This window comes from Homo sapiens, chromosome 10 (assembly GCF_000001405.40).
Source record: "Homo sapiens chromosome 10, GRCh38.p14 Primary Assembly".
NCBI classification, from domain to species: domain Eukaryota; kingdom Metazoa; phylum Chordata; class Mammalia; order Primates; family Hominidae; genus Homo; species Homo sapiens.
This window is the reverse complement of record NC_000010.11, coordinates 74,034,670-74,052,237: the sequence shown is the minus strand read 5'-3', so window position 1 is coordinate 74,052,237 and position 17,568 is coordinate 74,034,670. Positions and strand designations below refer to the sequence as shown.

At 39.5% G+C, this 17,568-nt stretch overlaps 1 protein-coding gene across 2 annotated transcripts in view, besides 1 other annotated feature; it reads right to left on the bottom strand.

Annotated features, from left to right (window-relative positions):
- VCL (vinculin) overlaps window positions 1–17,568 on the bottom strand; it is a 123,248-nt gene that overhangs the window by 69,126 nt on the left and 36,554 nt on the right. For both annotated transcript variants that reach the window (NM_003373.4, NM_014000.3), the window contains exon 2: window positions 9,085–9,155. In NM_003373.4, coding sequence (NP_003364.1) covers window positions 9,085–9,155 — 71 coding nt within the window. The remainder of the gene's footprint in view (window positions 1–9,084; window positions 9,156–17,568) is intronic.
- Window positions 17,412–17,541: an enhancer, noted in NCBI's record as "active region_3588". NCBI's record gives its function as "activates an Ori minimal core promoter by ATAC-STARR-seq in GM12878 lymphoblastoid cells {active_cell/tissue: GM12878}" and the evidence as "EXISTENCE:reporter gene assay evidence [ECO:0000049][PMID:35858748]".

The following is a 17,568-nucleotide window of genomic DNA, read 5'->3' as shown; positions in this document are numbered from 1 at the left end:
GCAGGGCGTGGACACTGGACCACATAGAGGACTAGCTAAAGCAGGTCCAGGGTAAAAGCACCTCCCCATAAGACACACCCACCAGGGTGATAGGTCACCTTACCATTGCCACGGCAACACCCAGACGTTACTGCCCCTTTCCATGGCAACAACTGAACAACCTAGTAGCCACCACTTGCATTCTAGAAATTTCTGCACAAATCACCCCTTAATTAGAATATAATTAAAAGTGGGTATAAATATGAATGCAGAACTGCCTCTGAGCTGCTACTCTGGGCACGCTGCCTCTAGGGTAGCCCTGCTCCGCCAGCAGAAATGCCTCTGCTGCTGCTGCTGCTGCTGCTGTACACTGCTGCTTCAATAAAAGTTGCTAACACCACTGGCTAGCTCTTGAATTCTTTCCTAGGAAAAGCCAAGAACCCTCTTGGGATAAACCTCAGTTTTGGGGTTTGCCTGTCCTGCAACATAATCACCAAATGTTTCTTTTTGTTTGTTTTAGGTATTTTCACATATATCATTTCACTCATTTAAACCTCACAATAACTATTATGTTAGAAGAAGAGACTATTGTAAAGAAGAATGAGAAAGTACCTTAGCATACTGGAATGAGCATACTTGGAATCAAACAGTTCAGGGTTAGAATCCTACCTCTGCCATGTATGAACTGAGTAACTTTCAACACCTTACTGAGCTTCTCTTCATCTGAAAAATGAAGTGGACTAAATAACACAACTTAAAATACCCAGCTCATACAAGGTATTTAAGAAATTGAGCAGAGCTCAAGACCAGGCTGGCCAACATGCTGAAATCCCATCTCTACTAAAAATACAAAAATTAGCTGGGCGTGGTGGTGCGTGCCTGTAGTCCCAGCTACTCGGGAAGCTGAGGCGGGAGAATTGCTTGAACCCAGGAGGCAGCGGTTGCAGTGAGCCGAGATCACACCACTGCACTCCAGCCTGGATGACAGAGCAAGACTCCGTCTAAAACAAAAAACAAACAAACAAACAAACAAAAAACAGTAGTGATAGGCCAGCATTTTGGGAGGCTGAGGCAAATGGATCACTTGAGGCCAGGAGTTCGAGACCAGCCTGGCCAACATGGTGTAACCCATCTCTACTAAAAATGCAAAAATTGACCAGGCATGGTGGCATATGCCTGTAATCCCAGCTACTCGGGAGGCTGAGTCAGGAGAATCTCTTGAACCTGGGAGGTGGAGGTTGCAATGAGCTGAGATGGTGCCATTGCACTCCAGCCTGGGTAGCAGAGCGAGATTCCATCTCAAAAAAAAAAAAAAAAAAAAAAAAATACAGTAGTACTAAATTATGCTTAATGTGGCAAGTCCAAAGGTGAACTATTTAAAGTTTGAGTGCTTGCTCTAGGTCAAAAATGCAGCAAGGCAGTGGGCAGAGGTCAATGATTACATCACAGAACTTGGGCATCCACATTAAGAGACAAAAATCTTCTAATACTGTAGCAGTGGAAAGGACCACAAAACTCAGGACACACACACACACAAATCACACATTAGCCCCAGGCAAACAAAAGGTATTAAGTGATATGATTAAGTAATTAATTGTTAAAAAAAGATATTCTGGGCACTTTCACCCACAAGTGTGTTTAAAAATACAAATTTCATCACAAATTATTTTGAGTGTTCAAGATCACAAGCAAAGAAAAAGCTACAAGGCCTGATGACCTAAAAATGTGACATCATTACTTTAGGTCAAAAGAGATCTAAATTAAGTATAAAGCATATTTTAATCCTTCTCAAATTTCTTCTTTGTGCATGAATATAAATTATGGTAAATTTGTATAAGTAAATACCATAACTGTTCTTAACTAATAAAGTTTAAGGGTTAAAACAAAGAATTCCCAAGAAATGTGAATAATGGCAATCATGTAGCAGTAGTACATCCTTTCACATGGTATTTTGGGAACATTCTTTTATTCAATAAGCCTAGACATTACAGTATGCTTCAAAAATAGTCCAAGCTGGTGAACCAATCCAAGTTTTGACTTCAAGCAGACTGTCAGAGCAGCACTAAGGCAGAAAGTGACAACACTGTCCAGTTCGAAATGAAAGCTGTCATTTGCCTGCCAACAGATAATGTACACCATGCCCTTTTCAAGTTCATATCACAAGACCACCTCAGAAGTGATGCTTTTTGATCCATTCAGTTCTGAACATCCTTGGATCAGGTCCAAGAATTGCCTTCCTTATTCATTTCTGCTCCATTGCAGAAATAAGAATGAAATTCCACTGTATACAGCAATGACAATTTTTCCAAGGCAAATAAAATAGTTTGCTATAAACATTTCTCACCTATAATAAGGAATCAATCTGAAGCAAATCTACACTGACAGAAAATAAATCTGGTCAGTTTGACATCTAGCTTATTCTCTGTTACAACATTAGCACCTACTATTCCTTCTGTATTTGGTTATGAATCTTCTGGAAGATGCTTTCATATTGTCATCCTACTGCTCAGCAACTACAAAGCTTCCCTCCTGCCCAATTCTAAATTCCTTTGCCTGGCTTTCAAGGACCTTCACTATTGCCCAACCTACCTACCTAAGCTTAGTTCCTACCACCCCCACCATGTGCCCCTCTCCCCACAGGCCCTCATGACTTGGTCATGCCATTCATTGCACCTAGAGTATTTTCCTTCCTCCCTACATCTAACCATCCTCCCAAGCCCCACTTCCTACATAAACGCTCTTTCTACTATTCCTACTTATAATGAGAGAGCTCTCTCTCTGAATTCCTATCATAAAGTCAGTCTGTATTATAGCTCTTTAATTGGAAACGTCTTAAAATATTTCTTTTTTACAAAATTTCTCTGCAGTAGTGTTTCCACTTTTGCTCTGCCATCATATATAGAAAAATAAAACTCAAGTTTATGGCATATCCCCATGGGTCTACTTGGGATTATGCATAATTCCCAGCCACAATAGCTGTAGTTCCACTATTTTATCTCCCATTAAAGAAAACATAATAACAAGCATATTATACTTCAATGAAAGTTTAAAAAAAAACATAATGAGAAGGAATGAGAGGGATATTATTATACACGTGAACTTAAATATGCTCAATTAAGTTTTTGTTTGTTTGTTTGTTTGTTTGTTTTTTTGAGATGGAGTCTCGCTCTGTCGCCCAGGCTGGAGTGCAGTGGCGCAATCTCAGCTCACTGCAAACTCCGCCTCCTGGGTTCACGCATTCTCCTGCCTCAGCCTCCTGAGTAGCTGGGACTACTGGTGCCTGCCACCACGTCCGGCTAATTTTTTGTATTTTTAGTAGAGACGGGGTTTCACCGTGGTCTCGATCTCCTGACCTCACAATCCCCCCGCCTCGGCCTCCCAAAGTGCTGGGATTACAGGCATGAGCCACCACGCCTGACCTCTCAATTAATTTTTTCTTTTAAAGCAAAGCATTAGTATCCTCTGGCACTTTATTACTGTTAATATATTATTTGCAATATATCTCACAAGTGACTATTCATTACACACTGGTAGGAACTACTATTCTATAAACAGCACTCAGCATGCTAGGCACATAGAAGGCAATCAGTAAATAATTAACCAAGGAGCATGTCTAGCCCATTAATCAATTATATATAAAACATTACTGCCACAGCAGTCTGATGATGATGATGACGAAGAAGAAAATGACAACTGACAGTGATACAAAATGTAAACATGGAGTACAGTAGCTGACTCCCCTGCTGACAGTCTCAAAAGGAACAAATGATTTCTTTTCTTTTTTTTTTTTTTTTGAGACAGAGTTTCGCTCTTGCCCAGGCTGGAATGCATGGCATGATCTCGGCTCACTGCAACCTCCACCACCTGGGTTCAAGTGATTCTCCTACCTCAGCCTCCCAAGTAGCTGGGATTACAGGTATGTGCCACCACGCCCGGCTAGTTTTGAATTTTTAGTAGAGATGGGGTTTCACCATGTTGGCCAGGCTGGTTTTGAACTCTTGACCTCAAGTGATCCACCTGCCTCAGCCTCCCAAAGTGCTGGGATTATAGGCGTGAGCTAGCGCACCCAGCCAGGAACAAATGATTTCTTATAGGGTTATAAGGTTAGTCTAACCAACATTTTAACAATACAGCATAGCTGCTGCACTCCTGAAGTTTATGACAATCTGGGCAGTTTCGATGGCAATCACCATGCAACCCTACACCTCTTATGCAACACTGTGGCTATTATTGCAGTCTTGGGTAAAATTAGTAAATTGTGAGCTCTATCTGCCAGTGCAGCCAGGGATCAAATAACTTTAGCTCCACCCAAGAGAAAGGCTGTGACCATGCAAATCTTGTTCTATATTAAAATGGCTCTCACTTTTACAGTAAGGAATTGCCTGAGCACTGGAAGTTCCTCATCGACAATTGTATCATTTTAAATGTATTAAACCCATTTTTCCATATGCCCTAATTGCCAATCACACAAATAGCCTATGATAGGATCTTGAGATCCCCAAATCCTAAAAGTATCATATCTTTCCCTGAAAAATCTTTAAATATATATCAGATAGCTTAGGTATAAATCTATCTACAGGCCAAGTATCTTCTGTTTTCTCTAGCCTTGACATCTTAACATTCTAGGAGTACAGACTGATCTAACAATAAATGTTTAAATATTTTAGCCTTTAGTGTTGCTTAAGCAGTCACTTGAGAAGTCCTTGCAAAAGTAGACTACAGAGGAAGTTTCAGTCGGTCATGCCCTAGAAATTTCTAAACATCAACCAAGCAGCTCAAAAGAATGTCCTACTCAATAGTTCCAAGGATGTCATTAATTGCTTCCATCTGTTTCCCCCTTCTCTGTCCCTGTCTTTTCCAAGTCAAGGCATCTACTATTTTCTGCTTCATTTTGCATTCTATAGAAAAACAAGAAAAGCAAACATAAAAATCCATCACGGTTTGTTTTATTTTGTTTTGTTTTACACAGGGTCTCACTCTGTCACCCAGGCTGGAGTGCAGTGGCATAATGACAGCTCACTGCAGCCTCGACCTCCTGGGCTTAAGCAATCCTCCCACCTCGGCCTCCCAAAGTGCTGGGATTACAGGCGTGAGCCACCATGCCCAGCGATCAATGATTTTTTAATTCTGTCATGTCTTCCACATTTATTGGTTAGAATTCACCTTACAACTAGGGCTATTGGGCTACTCTAAAAATTTTGTACAGGAAAGGCAAGATAAATGCTTAATTTCCTTTAAATTACCAATTATTAGAGTAAGGGGTTGATGCCCTAGTTACCACACAGGGTGATCAGTAAAGTTTTATTTTGTTTTAAAGTGACCAAATTTTTTGAAATTTTTATCACAACTAGGGTGTGCTCATTTTTAATTTTTCTAAGTCCCCAAAGAAGTCTGTGAAAGCACATAGCATATTTCAGAATATGTCTCTGGGGATAAGCAAAAATAAGTTTCCTGACAAAATCCACTTACCAATCAAATCATATTCATAGACTAGAATGTCAGGGTTGGAAGCAATTGTTTGTAAGGTCTTCTAGTCCAACTACCTACCCGATAGTGAAACCTGTACTCACTCATTCCCCGTGCTCTGTATCTTCCAAGGGGTGAGGGGCAACCTGCTACAAGCTAGAGCTATGTTTTTAATGTAAGGTAAATGCAAGTTTAATTATAATATGTTTAGTTGACAGCATAAGATTCCTCTTAATATTACCAGGCTAAGGCCGGGGCACAGTGGCTCATGCCGGTACTCCCAACACTTTGGGAGGCCAATGCAGGAGGATTGCTTGAGCCCAGGAATTCAAGACCAGCCTGGGCAACAGGGAGACCTTACCTCTACAAATGATTTAAAAATTGTCCGGGCATAGTGGCACACACCTGTAGTCCCAGCGACTCGGGGTGAGGCAAGAGGATCACTTAAGTCTGGGCAATTGAGGCTGCAGTGAGCCATGATCGCACCACTGCACTTCAACCTGGGTGACAGAGTGAGAGCCTGTCTCAAAAATATATATATATTACCAGGCTGATCGGATGGCATGTAAACAAAATAGGCTCATGTTGATCAGAGCTCGAAGAAACCTTGAGATCACCAAGTCCAATGAAGGTAGGACAAAAAAGATACTCCCACAAAACAGGCTGTACAAAAAAACAGATGCTTCTAGCACCTTACTTCCTGACACATGAAGACATTTTATGGAATTAACAGAAACACAGTTGCATAAAGCACCCACTCAGGTAGAAATAAGAAGATTTCAATATGGGTGAGAATTTTACATCTGTTCAATGAAAATAATAGAACATAAGGAGGATAAAAATAAAGGAACACTTTTAGCTTTATTTAAAGTTGTGATATTTAACATACATAGAGAAAATAAACATATGTATAATATAATGCATAAATATAAAACAACCGCCCATGTAACTCATCACTTAAATCAAAAATAGAACATTATTACCACTTTTAGATGCCCCTGTGTACCTCTTCCTGAGTATAGACCTCTTCCTCCCTCCCAGAGGTAGGACTACCCTGGCTGTGGTGACCATTATTACTTACTCATCTTCATCTTTTTACCATATAAATAGGCATGTCTAAACAACATAGTTTATTTCTGCATGTTTTTGAACTTTTTTTTTTTTTTTTTTGAGACAGAGTCTCACTCTGTCACCCAGACTGGAGTACAGTGGCTTGATCTTGGCTCACTGCAACCTCCGCCACCCGGATTCAAGTGATTCTCCCGCCTCAGCCTCCCAAGTAGCTGGGATTACAAGTGTGAGCCACCACGCCTGGCTAATTTTTATATTGTTAGTACAGATAGGGTTTCACCATGTTGGCCAGGCTGATCTCGAACTCCTGACCTCAAGTGATCCACCTGCCTTGGTCTCCCAAAGTACTGGGATTACAGGTGTGAGTCACCACACCTGGCCATTTTTGAACTTTAAATAAGTGGAACCTACATATCTATCTATCTATCTATCTATCTATCTATCTATCTATCTATCCGTCTCTCTGTCTCTCTGTTTTTCATTTCCCTCAATTATTTTTGAGATTCATTCATTTCTCTTTTTTTGTCTTTTTATTTATTTATTTATTTTTAGATACAGGGTTTCACCCTGTCACCCAGGCTGGAGTGCAGTGGTGCAGTCACAGCTCACTGCAGCCTTAACTTCCCCAGCTCAGGTGATCCTCCCACTTCAGCCTCCTGGGTGGCTGGGACTATCGGCTCACACCACCACACGGAGCTAATGTTTTGTAGAGATGAGTTTTCACCATGTTGCCCAGGCTGGTCTCAAACTCCTAGGCTCAAGTGATCTTCCCTCCTCGGCCTCCCAAAGTGCTGGGATTACAGGTGTGAGCCACTGCACCTGGCCTCATTGTTTTTTTCAATTGAAATGAAACTCATATAGCATAAAATTAACCATTTTTAAGTGAAAATTCCTCACTCCTTTTCATTACTGATTAATATTACAATTTCTGATTACACCATGATTATTTTATCCATTCTACTCTAGATAGACCAGTGGGGTCATCATGAACAATGCTGATAGAAATGTTTTTTATATGGATGCTGGTGTGCATGTGGACGAGTATCTTTAGGGAACATACCCGACAGTGGAACTGCTTATCTTCTACTTTACTGATGTCATGTTGTTTTCCAAAGTGGCTGCAGCAATTTACATTCCCAACAGCAGTGTAAGAACATTCCAGTTGCTCCACATCTTATCAACAACTAATATTATCAGGGTTCTTAATTTGGGGTGTATAATAAAATAATTTGCACTTCTCTGATGACTGAAATAAAATATTTATTGGCCACTTAAATTTCCTCTTTTGAGGTGCCTATTCAAGTCCTTCAAACACCTTTTTGGAAAGTCTTATGTTATTCTTATTGACTTCTATGAGTTCTATTTTTTTTGTCCTACACATCAGCTTTTACTTTTGCTTACAACTTGACTGCCATATAGAACAAAACCACTAATCAAAGACAATATAAGAACCTAAGAAGTTTTAAGTATTCAAAAATTAGTATGTCTGCTTGTTTTATGCAGAATAGCCCAAAAAGCCTGGAAATTATTTTTAGGAATACTAGGAGATATATAAATATAACTTAAATTTAAAATGTAACTGAAAATATGAAACAATAATTTTTTTTTTTTGAGACAGAGTCCCGCTCTGTCACCCAGACTGGAGTGCAGTGGCGTGATCTCCACTCACTGCAAGCTCCACCTCCTGAGTTCACGCCATTCTCCTGCCTCAGCCTCCCAAATAGCTGGGACTACAGGCACCCGCCACCACGCCTGGCTAATTTTTTTTATATTTTTAGTAGAGACAGGGTTTCACCATGTTAGCCAGGATGGTCTCGATCTCCTGACCTGAGGTGATCCACCCTCCTTGGCCTCCCAAAGTGCTGGGATGACAGGCATGAGCCACCACGCCCGGCCAAAACAATAATTTTTTAAAGTTTATATCTACCATTATTCCCTTATCTCCAAGCAAAGGTGCCTAGTATACAATGTAGATTCATGCATGCTATAGTCACAGTGGGTCTCTGAATACTTTTCATTTTGGAAAGAAAAACTCAAAACTCATGGTCTTATTAAAAATTATTATGTCAAAAATTGGCCAGGTACAGTGGCTCACGCCTATAATCCCAGCACTTTGGGAGGCCAAGGTGGGTGGATCACCTGAGGTCGGAAGTTCAAGACCAGCTTGGCCAACATGGTGAAACCCCATCTCTACTAAAAATACAAAGATTAGCCAGGGATGGTGGCACGCGCCTATAATCCAAGCTATTCCAGAGGCTGAGACAGGCAAATCATTTGAACCCAAGAGGCAGAGGTTGCAGTGAGCTGACATCGCACCATTGCACTCCAAACTGGGTGACGAGGGTGAAACTCCGTCTCAAAAAAAAAAAATTATTATGTCAAAAATGCCTAATATCAAAAACTAAAATGAACAGTTTTTTTAAAAAAGTTAGAAGACAAAAAAGTTGAAATTTCAATTGTAAACAAAAGTTTTATACCAAAAAAAAGTTGTTACTGAAATCAGCTACTTTTTCTTCCTAACAAGAGTATTATTCTGCTTAGCAACAGAAGAATATTTCAATTACTCACTTAATAAATGCTGGTGGCATATCTCTCTTCAAAATCTGATCCTCAGTGGTTTGAACAGTCTCTTTTCCAACCTACAAGAGGAAAAAAAATCATAATTCAAATATAAATTCTCAGACTTTAAAAAACTATTACTTAAGCATATTTGAAACATATACTTAAACATAATCTATCATTAAAGTTTCTAGATTTAAGGGAGATTTCTGGATTTAAAAAATTTTTTAGGATTACTCACATAATATGCCTTCACAATATACTAGAATAACAATATGGAATACAAACATAATGTTGTATTACTCCTTCTTCAGAATAACTAATTTGAAAGCATTACTGAGCATAATAGGAGAAATTCATCATTGAGAATATAAGTGTGTGTATTTAAGCCAAAAAACTAGGCCACATCTCTAAAATGTTACATGAAGTACATGAATCAAGTTAGACAGACAAAACTATCTATACAGAAAAAAACGAAGTTATTGGAACTGGGAAAAATATTTGAAGCTATTATGATTCTGACACTAGAAACCAAACATGAAAATATGCAACTTCACTAGTAATCAAAAAAACTGAAATTAAAACAATATGATATTTTTCCCTAATTATAGTGCGAGTTAAAAAGAAAGAATATATAATGCTGAATGCAACAATGGAATAGGTAGTTTTACACCCTGCAGGTGGTGATATAAACTGACATATTCTCTTTGGAAAATCACTTGCTAGAATTTGTTAGCGGACATAAAAAAAGTCATACCTGGGAATTCCACTTATGAGAATATACCTTATAAGCAGTAATGCCAAATGTGATAATAAAAACAATATTCACAAAAGTATTCACTAAGATGACAGTTATAAAAGCTAAAACACTTCATAAATAACTCCTCCAACAAAGAGGAATAGTTAAGTAAATTAAGATATATCGTTAGGTTGAGTACTATGTGGGCCATTAAAACAATGGTTATAAAAACTTGGCATTATAGGAAAATGTTTATGACATTATATTTCACTTAAAAGAAGAAATATACATTATGAGTACAACACCAAAAAAAATCCACATGTATAAATAAAGCAACAACACCGAAAGAACATTTTTAAAATATTCTACTGGTTGTACTAATGCTTAGGAAATTGAATGAATTTGTATCTGCGTTTCCTATTTTCTAATTTCCTGAAATGTAAATTTTAAAGTAATTTTTGTAATTTAAAAACACAAAAATGTTACTGTAAGTTGTTTTGTTATTTTTTGTTTGTGTTTTTGAAATAGAGTCTCACTCTGTTGCCCAGGCTGAAGTGCAGAGACGCAGTCTCAGCTCACTGAAACCTTGGCCTCCCAGGTTCAAGTGATTCTCATGCCTCAGCTTCCCAAGTAGCTGGGACTACAGGCATGTGCCACCACACCCAGCTAATCTTTTTTTTTTTTTTGGATTTTTAGTAGAGATGGGGTTTCACCATGTTGGCCAGGCTGGTCTCGAACTCCTGACCTCAAGTGATCCACCCACCTTGCCTCCCAAAGTGCTGGGATTACAGGCATGAGCCACCACTCCCAGCCTAAGTTATTTAGTTGTAATTATTTCCTACCTAATAATCTCAGTACACAATTATCTGTCATTTTATATAGATCTTCCAAATAGTAATGGTCAGAAATTTTTTAAATTATCAAAATATTAAATGTCACACTACCAAATTATGTGTGTATTATACCACTAATCATACACATATTCACTTTCTTCAAAATTATCTCTATGCAGGTCTTGAATGTCAATTTTTCTTCCACTATATTCATGTATTATAAAATATAAGAGTAAACTTTAATATAGTAAATGGTGAAATTCACCCATTTTAACAATATAAAGCCACCTAAGAGTACTAAATCATATTTATAAACCATATTTTAATGTAGAAATCTGTGAAATTAAAAAAACCCAGAATGGAAAATATGTCAGTCCTACTATTTAACCATTTAACTTTTGATTGAGTTTAAAGGAAAAAAAAATGGAGTAAGAAAAATCCTGGCTGGCACAGTGGTGCACACTTATCATTCCCAGCACTTTGGGAGACCAAGGTGAGAGAATTACTTGAAACCAGGAGTTTGGGACCAGCCTGGGCAACATAGTGAGACCTTGTCTCTACACAAAATTAGTCGGGTGTGGTGGCTCACACCTATGGTCCCAGCTGCTTGGGAGGCTGAGGTGGAAGGATCACTTAAGCCCAGGAGGTCAAGGCTGTGGTGAGCAGTGTTTTACACCACTGCACTCCAGCCTGGACAACAGGGCAAGACCCTGTCTCAAAAAATCTCTAAATGCTCAGTAAATCAGCTAAAGAAAATAACACAATAAACTATTCTCAGGGAATATAAGTCATGCATAAATTATGAATACAAGTTTTTTCTTTCAAGTTAATAGCTAGAAAAAGCAACACATATCTACCACTGTGTAATAGCCAATGCTTTTATAGACAATAGACTGTCTGTATCATAATAAAAGGCTTTTAAATCAGCAGCTGGTTCTCTAGAGTTTCTCAGCTCAAAACATGACAGAATATTTCCAGATGTATTGTTCACTATGTTTTCCAACTGAAACTAACCATTCAAAAAGCTATGGCCATGATTTCATGAAGTAAAAGATGAAGTTCAGCCACAAAGTCACTAGTTCACATTCAGTATAAAGGGCCTAGAAAGATATTCACATTTAAGACACAGAGAGATTCCTTTTATATATGTGGGGGGAAGGAGGGACACAGACACAGAGAGCAAGCGTGGGAGGGAGAACTAGGTGAGTTCCTCTTATATTTCCTTTAGAAAATAGTAAGTTATTCAGTGTTATTAAACATTGCTTTTAGCACAACAACATGAGCCAGGTACTGTTTAGGTAGTAGAGATGGAGTAGAGAATAAAAAAAAGTTTCCTGCCTTCACGGAACTTACAGTCTAGTAGGGAGAGACAGAGAGTCAAGTAAATAAACAAGTATGATTCCAGATAATGGTAAGAATGATGCTATAATAAAGAGTACGGGCTGGAAACAAAGGAGCTTACTTTGGAAAGAGTAGACAAAGAAGCAAAATTGGAGCTGAGACTTTGAAACTAAGAAGGAGTCACTCATGAAAGAGCTAGGCAAGAACAATCTAGGGGGAGCAGCCAGAAAAAGGCCCTAATGCAGGAAAAGATTGGGTGTATTTTAGGAACTGGAAAGAGGCCAGAGTGGCTGAACCTCAGGGAGGGAGGGAAGTATGGTGTGGTAATGAGGCTGGGTAAGAAGGCAAGGGCCAGATCATAAAGAGCCTTTTAGGCCAGCTTGAAATATTTGGAATCGTTTATCAGTACAATAGGAGGCAGGAGTTCTAAACAAGAGATTAATCTGACTTTTTCTTTTCTTTTCTTTTCTTTTCTTTTTTAAGAGACATGATCTGGCCCCATATCCCAGACTTGAGTGCAGTGGTGCAATCATAGCTCAAGTGATTCAGGGCTCAAGTGATCCTCCGTCCGGAGCAGCTAGGACTCCAGGCATGAGACACCACGCCTAGCTAATTTTTTTTTTTTATTTTGTAGAGATGGGGTCTCACTATGTTTCCCAGGCTGGTCTCAAACTCCCATGCTCAAGCGATCCTCCTGCCTTTGCCTACCTAACTGCTGGGATTACAGTCATGAGCCACCACGCCTGGCCTGATTTTCTTTTTAAAAGGTCATTTTGCCTATTTTTAGGTGGTGAGGGGAGAGCAGGGTAACCAGTATCACTCTCCTAGATGATTGCAGGGAGGCTACTGCAGTCAGCCGGGAGAGTGATAGTAGTGACTTAAGGTTTCACTACTTAAGTAGTGAAAACAGAAATGGAGAAAAGAATAGAATTGTGTTACCTTTTTACGGAAGAAATATTATTAGGACTTGCTCTTGGACTGGGTGGGGTGGGGTGGGGGATGAAGACTAGACTGAGGTAAAGAAATAAAAACCACGTGGCCGGGCGTGGTGGCTCATGCCTATAAATCCCAGCACTTTGGGAGGCCGAGGAGAGCAGATCACCTGAGGTCAGGAGTTCGCGACCAGCCTGGCCAACATGGCGAAACCCTGTCTCTACTAAAAATACAAAAATTAGCTGGGCGTGGTGGCGGATGCCTATAATCCCAGCTACTCCGGAGGCTGAGGCAAGAGAATCGCTTGAACCTGGGAGGCGGAGGTTGCAGTGAGCCAAGATCGCGCCACTGTACTCCAGCCTGGGTGACAAGAGCAAAACACCGTCTCAAAAAAAGGAAAAAATAAAAAAAAAAATCACTTCTAAATCAATGAAATAAAAAGCCTTCAAAGGTAGCAATGCTAGAAGGCTGATATATGGCAAACAGTTATTATCCAAAGATAAAGCAATCATGGCTACACCAGGCAAAAACATTAAAACAGTTTTGTAAATAGCATATATTCTGACCTCAGTAGAGGTAATTACTAAAAACTGAATGGCATGTAATTAATTGATGCCTCTTTGTAAGAGTAGGAGTAGGTAAGGAAAGATAAATGGATAATTAAAAATATATTCAAGGGCATTTATTTAAATGCTATTTTTGAATACTTAAGTGATAAACACTAAATGTGATTTTGTTATTCTAAGCTGCATTCATACTTGAAGCAATAGTATCCATGATTGCTCAATACACTCTGGCTAGAATTAGATTAGGGACAACGAACGGCACTGTTTTTAAGGTACAACACATAAAACATGACTATATAGAATGAATGCCATTTTTTCTTGGGGAATTGATTTTTGGCAGTGCTGTCCAAATAATTTTCTTTTATGATGGAAATATTCTATTTAATCTGTGCCGCCCAATACAGTACCCATTAGCCACCTGTGAGTATTGACCACTTGGAATGTTCCCAGCATAGGCCAGGTGCAATAGCTCATGCCTGTAATCCCAGCACTTTGGAAGGTCAAGGCGGGTGGAACACCTGATATCAGGAATTCGAGACCACCCTGGCCAACATGGCGAAACCCCGTCTCTACTAAAAATACAAAAATTAGCCAGGGGTGTGGCAGGCACCTGTAATCCCAGCTACTTGGGAGGCTGAGGCAGGAAAATTGCTTGAACCTGGGAGGAGGAGGTTGCAGTGAACTGAGATCGCACCACTGCACTCCAGCCTAGGCGACAGAGCGAGACTCCGTCTCAAAAAAAAAAAAAAAAGAAAAGAAAAGAAAAAGAAACAAAGAAATGTGGCCAGTATAACTGAAGAACTGAATTTTTACCTTTATTTCATTTTAATTGCCACCTACGGCTAGTGGCTACCATATCAGGCAGCACAGATCCATGAGACCCTCACTGTATCCTAAAACTGGTCTTGTTGCTCCAGACTCTTCCAATTCATTCTTCACACAGCTACTATAACCTTCATTTATTCCTTTCCTATGTGGTCTTTTAGAAAAAAGGAGCCAGGCCTGGAAAGGAGAAGCTGCCCAGTAGAGAAGAATCAGACAGCCCAAACAAAGAGAAGAGCACAGGCAAAGAAGGTTCAGTCAGATATGCGAGTACAAGGAGGCCAGGACTAGAAAGACACGCTGGTGTGGCTTCAGCAGAGGAAATGAGGCTAGAAAGGAAAGTTCAGTTAGTTCAGGACTTTGTATGCTAAGTGAAGGCAGAGAGGATTATGTTACCTTGACCTGCCCATTTATTCAAAGATTGTCATCCTCTGTTCTAGATCTTTACAATTTAGTGTTCTATCACCAAAATAACAAGTCGAGAACTTCCAAAGAACCACTTTGTAAAGATCTACAGAAGCAGAAAGGTATGTCCTATTTGAGAACAACTGGCAAAGCCTGTCTAGGAGAACCAAAGACAAATCTTTAATTTTTAAGCCATTAACCCATTGATGACAGAAAATGCATTTTCCTGTACTCTCCTGTCACCATCAAAACAGAAAATTTCCATAGCACCCATCTTTTCCAAATAAAAATAGAGTAGAACAGTCAGCCGTGGTGGCTTACGCCTGTAATCCCAGGCGTAAGTGGGTAGATCACAAGGTCAGGAGGTGGGTAGATCACAAGGTCAGGAGATGGAGACCATCGTGGCTAACACGGTGAAACCCCGTCTCGACTAAAAATACAAAAAATTAGCCGGGCGTGGTGGCGGGCGCCTGTAGTCCCAGCTACTCGGGAGGCTGAGGCAGGAGAATGGCGCGAACCCGGGAGGCAGAGCTTGCAGTGAGCCAAGATCGGGCCACTGCACTCCAGCCTGGGTGACAGAGCGAGACTCCATCTCAAAAGAAAAAAAAAAAAGAAAAAGAAAAAAAGTAGAACAAACAAGAAAGGGATTAATTCACAAAATGTCTTTTGTTAACTAACAGGAATCTTCATAGCTGGTGGGAAAATGTTATTCTTCGAGGTCAACTTAGTATGGAGAAATATGATTCCCAATGTAGACTACAACTTTGCAAACAGGTCAGTAAGAATCAACAAATGCTTCTTTTTTACTTTTTTTTTTTTAAGATGGGGTCTTGCTATATTGCCCAGGCTGGACTCAAACTGCTGGGGTCAAGGAATCCTCCCACCTCAGCCTCCCAAGTAGCTGGGAATACGGGTGCATGCCACCACATCTGTCTGATGCCTCATTTTTTTTATGCCTTAAAATAGATCTTATTCCTTCTGAAAAAAGTCCTATGGATTAAAGGGTTAAAAAAAAACAGAGTGGCTGGGCACGGTGGCTCACGCCTGTAATCCAGCACTTTGGGAGGCCAAGGCGGGTGGATCACCTGAGATCAGAAGTTTGAGACCAGACTGGCCAACATGGTGAAACCCTGTCTCTACTAAATATATAAAAATTGGCCGGGCGTGATGGTGGGCGCCTGTAATCCCAGCTACTCGGGAGGGTGAGACAGGAGAATCACTTGAACCTGGGAGGCAGAGGTTGCAGTGAGCCGAGATCGTGCCATGGCACTCCAGCCTGGGCGACAAAAGCAAAACTCCGTCTAAAAAAAACAAAAAACAAAAACAAAAACAGAGAAAAGAACAAACAGATCTTAGTTATAGTCTAATTAGCTTTCTCTGGGTCAGTATTTAAAAACAACCCTTTTGGAGTAATCTAACTTTATAATAAATATAGTCATGTCTCTTGGTATCTATGGAGAATTGGTTCCATGACCCCCTTCAAATACCAAAACCCACAGATGCTTGTCTCTTATATAAAACAGCATAGTATTTGAATATAACTTACACACATCCTCCCACATACTTTAAATTATCTCTGGATTATTTATAATACCTAATATAATATAAATGCTATGTACATAGTTGTTATACTGTATTGTTTAGGGAATAAAGACAAGGAAAAAATCTGTACATGTTCAACACAGATGCAACTATCCTTGTTTTCTGAATATTTTCAATCCGCAGTTGGCTAAATGCAGAAGTGTGGAACCCACAGATACAGAGAGCCAACTGTACGTGTTATCCCTTCCTAACTTTATTCCATTGCCGAGAGAAACTCAGACTTGTTATTTCTATTCACTGACAAAATTATTTCTCTTTTATTTTCTTCTTCAGAGAATAGCTTTTAACTCTTGGGGCTAGATTCCATTCAATTCAATAAACAAGCAGTAAGTGCCAACTATGTGTCCACTAGGTGGTGGGAAGAGAATGAGATAAGAAATAAAACATCTTTAGATATAAACTGAAATAATGGTAGTGAATGAATAAGAGGCCTGGGGGCATTTTTAGGGGGCTTGGCAGGGAGCTCTGTTTCTTTTGAAGAGCTCTTACTTTGTTCAGTAGTTAATTTAAATATCCTTTGTTCAATATGTGACTTTAGTTCAAAATTCTATGTGAGAGGCCTTTTGTCTTCTGCTGTTGTTATTATTACTCCTTTCATCACAATCTACTCGATTTGGTTTGGTAATGTAGAGAGATTTGGTTTCTTTCCAGCAAAAAAAAAAAAAGAAAGAAAAAAAAGGTTGGCTGGTTCAAGTCACTACCTAGACTAAAAAATATGTTAATGTAGATGTCTCCCTTAGCTAGACTAAGTACAAGAAAACAGAAAGACAAAACAAAGCTGAGAAGACTTGTGTTACTTATTTGTACAATGTAAGTCGTAACTAAAGAACATTACATTAAAAATGTGGTAGGAAGATGTTCTTAATGTATTTAGACAATAGGTTGTGACCAACTGATTGTGACCAGACTTAAGAATGTGTACCCATTTGCCTGTACTTACTGTGGCTCAAATCAATGTCATGGCATAACAGTTAGCCTGATCAATCCATTATACTGAACAACCATTCTGATTGCAGCTGTGCCCAGTACCAGGCCTCAGTCATACAAGGATAATAATAATGTAAGTGACCCATCATCAGCAATGCTTTTGATTGTTTTTCTGGGGTGGTGATGAACTTGTGATCCATCCACCCCTCACTGATATCCTTTGTACATCATTCACAGATGGCCAGCCAGAGTTCAGTGTTTAAGAGGCCACATCCAGAAAAACTAAAACTCTCTAATCTACTCTGATTTCCAACTTATTCATTTA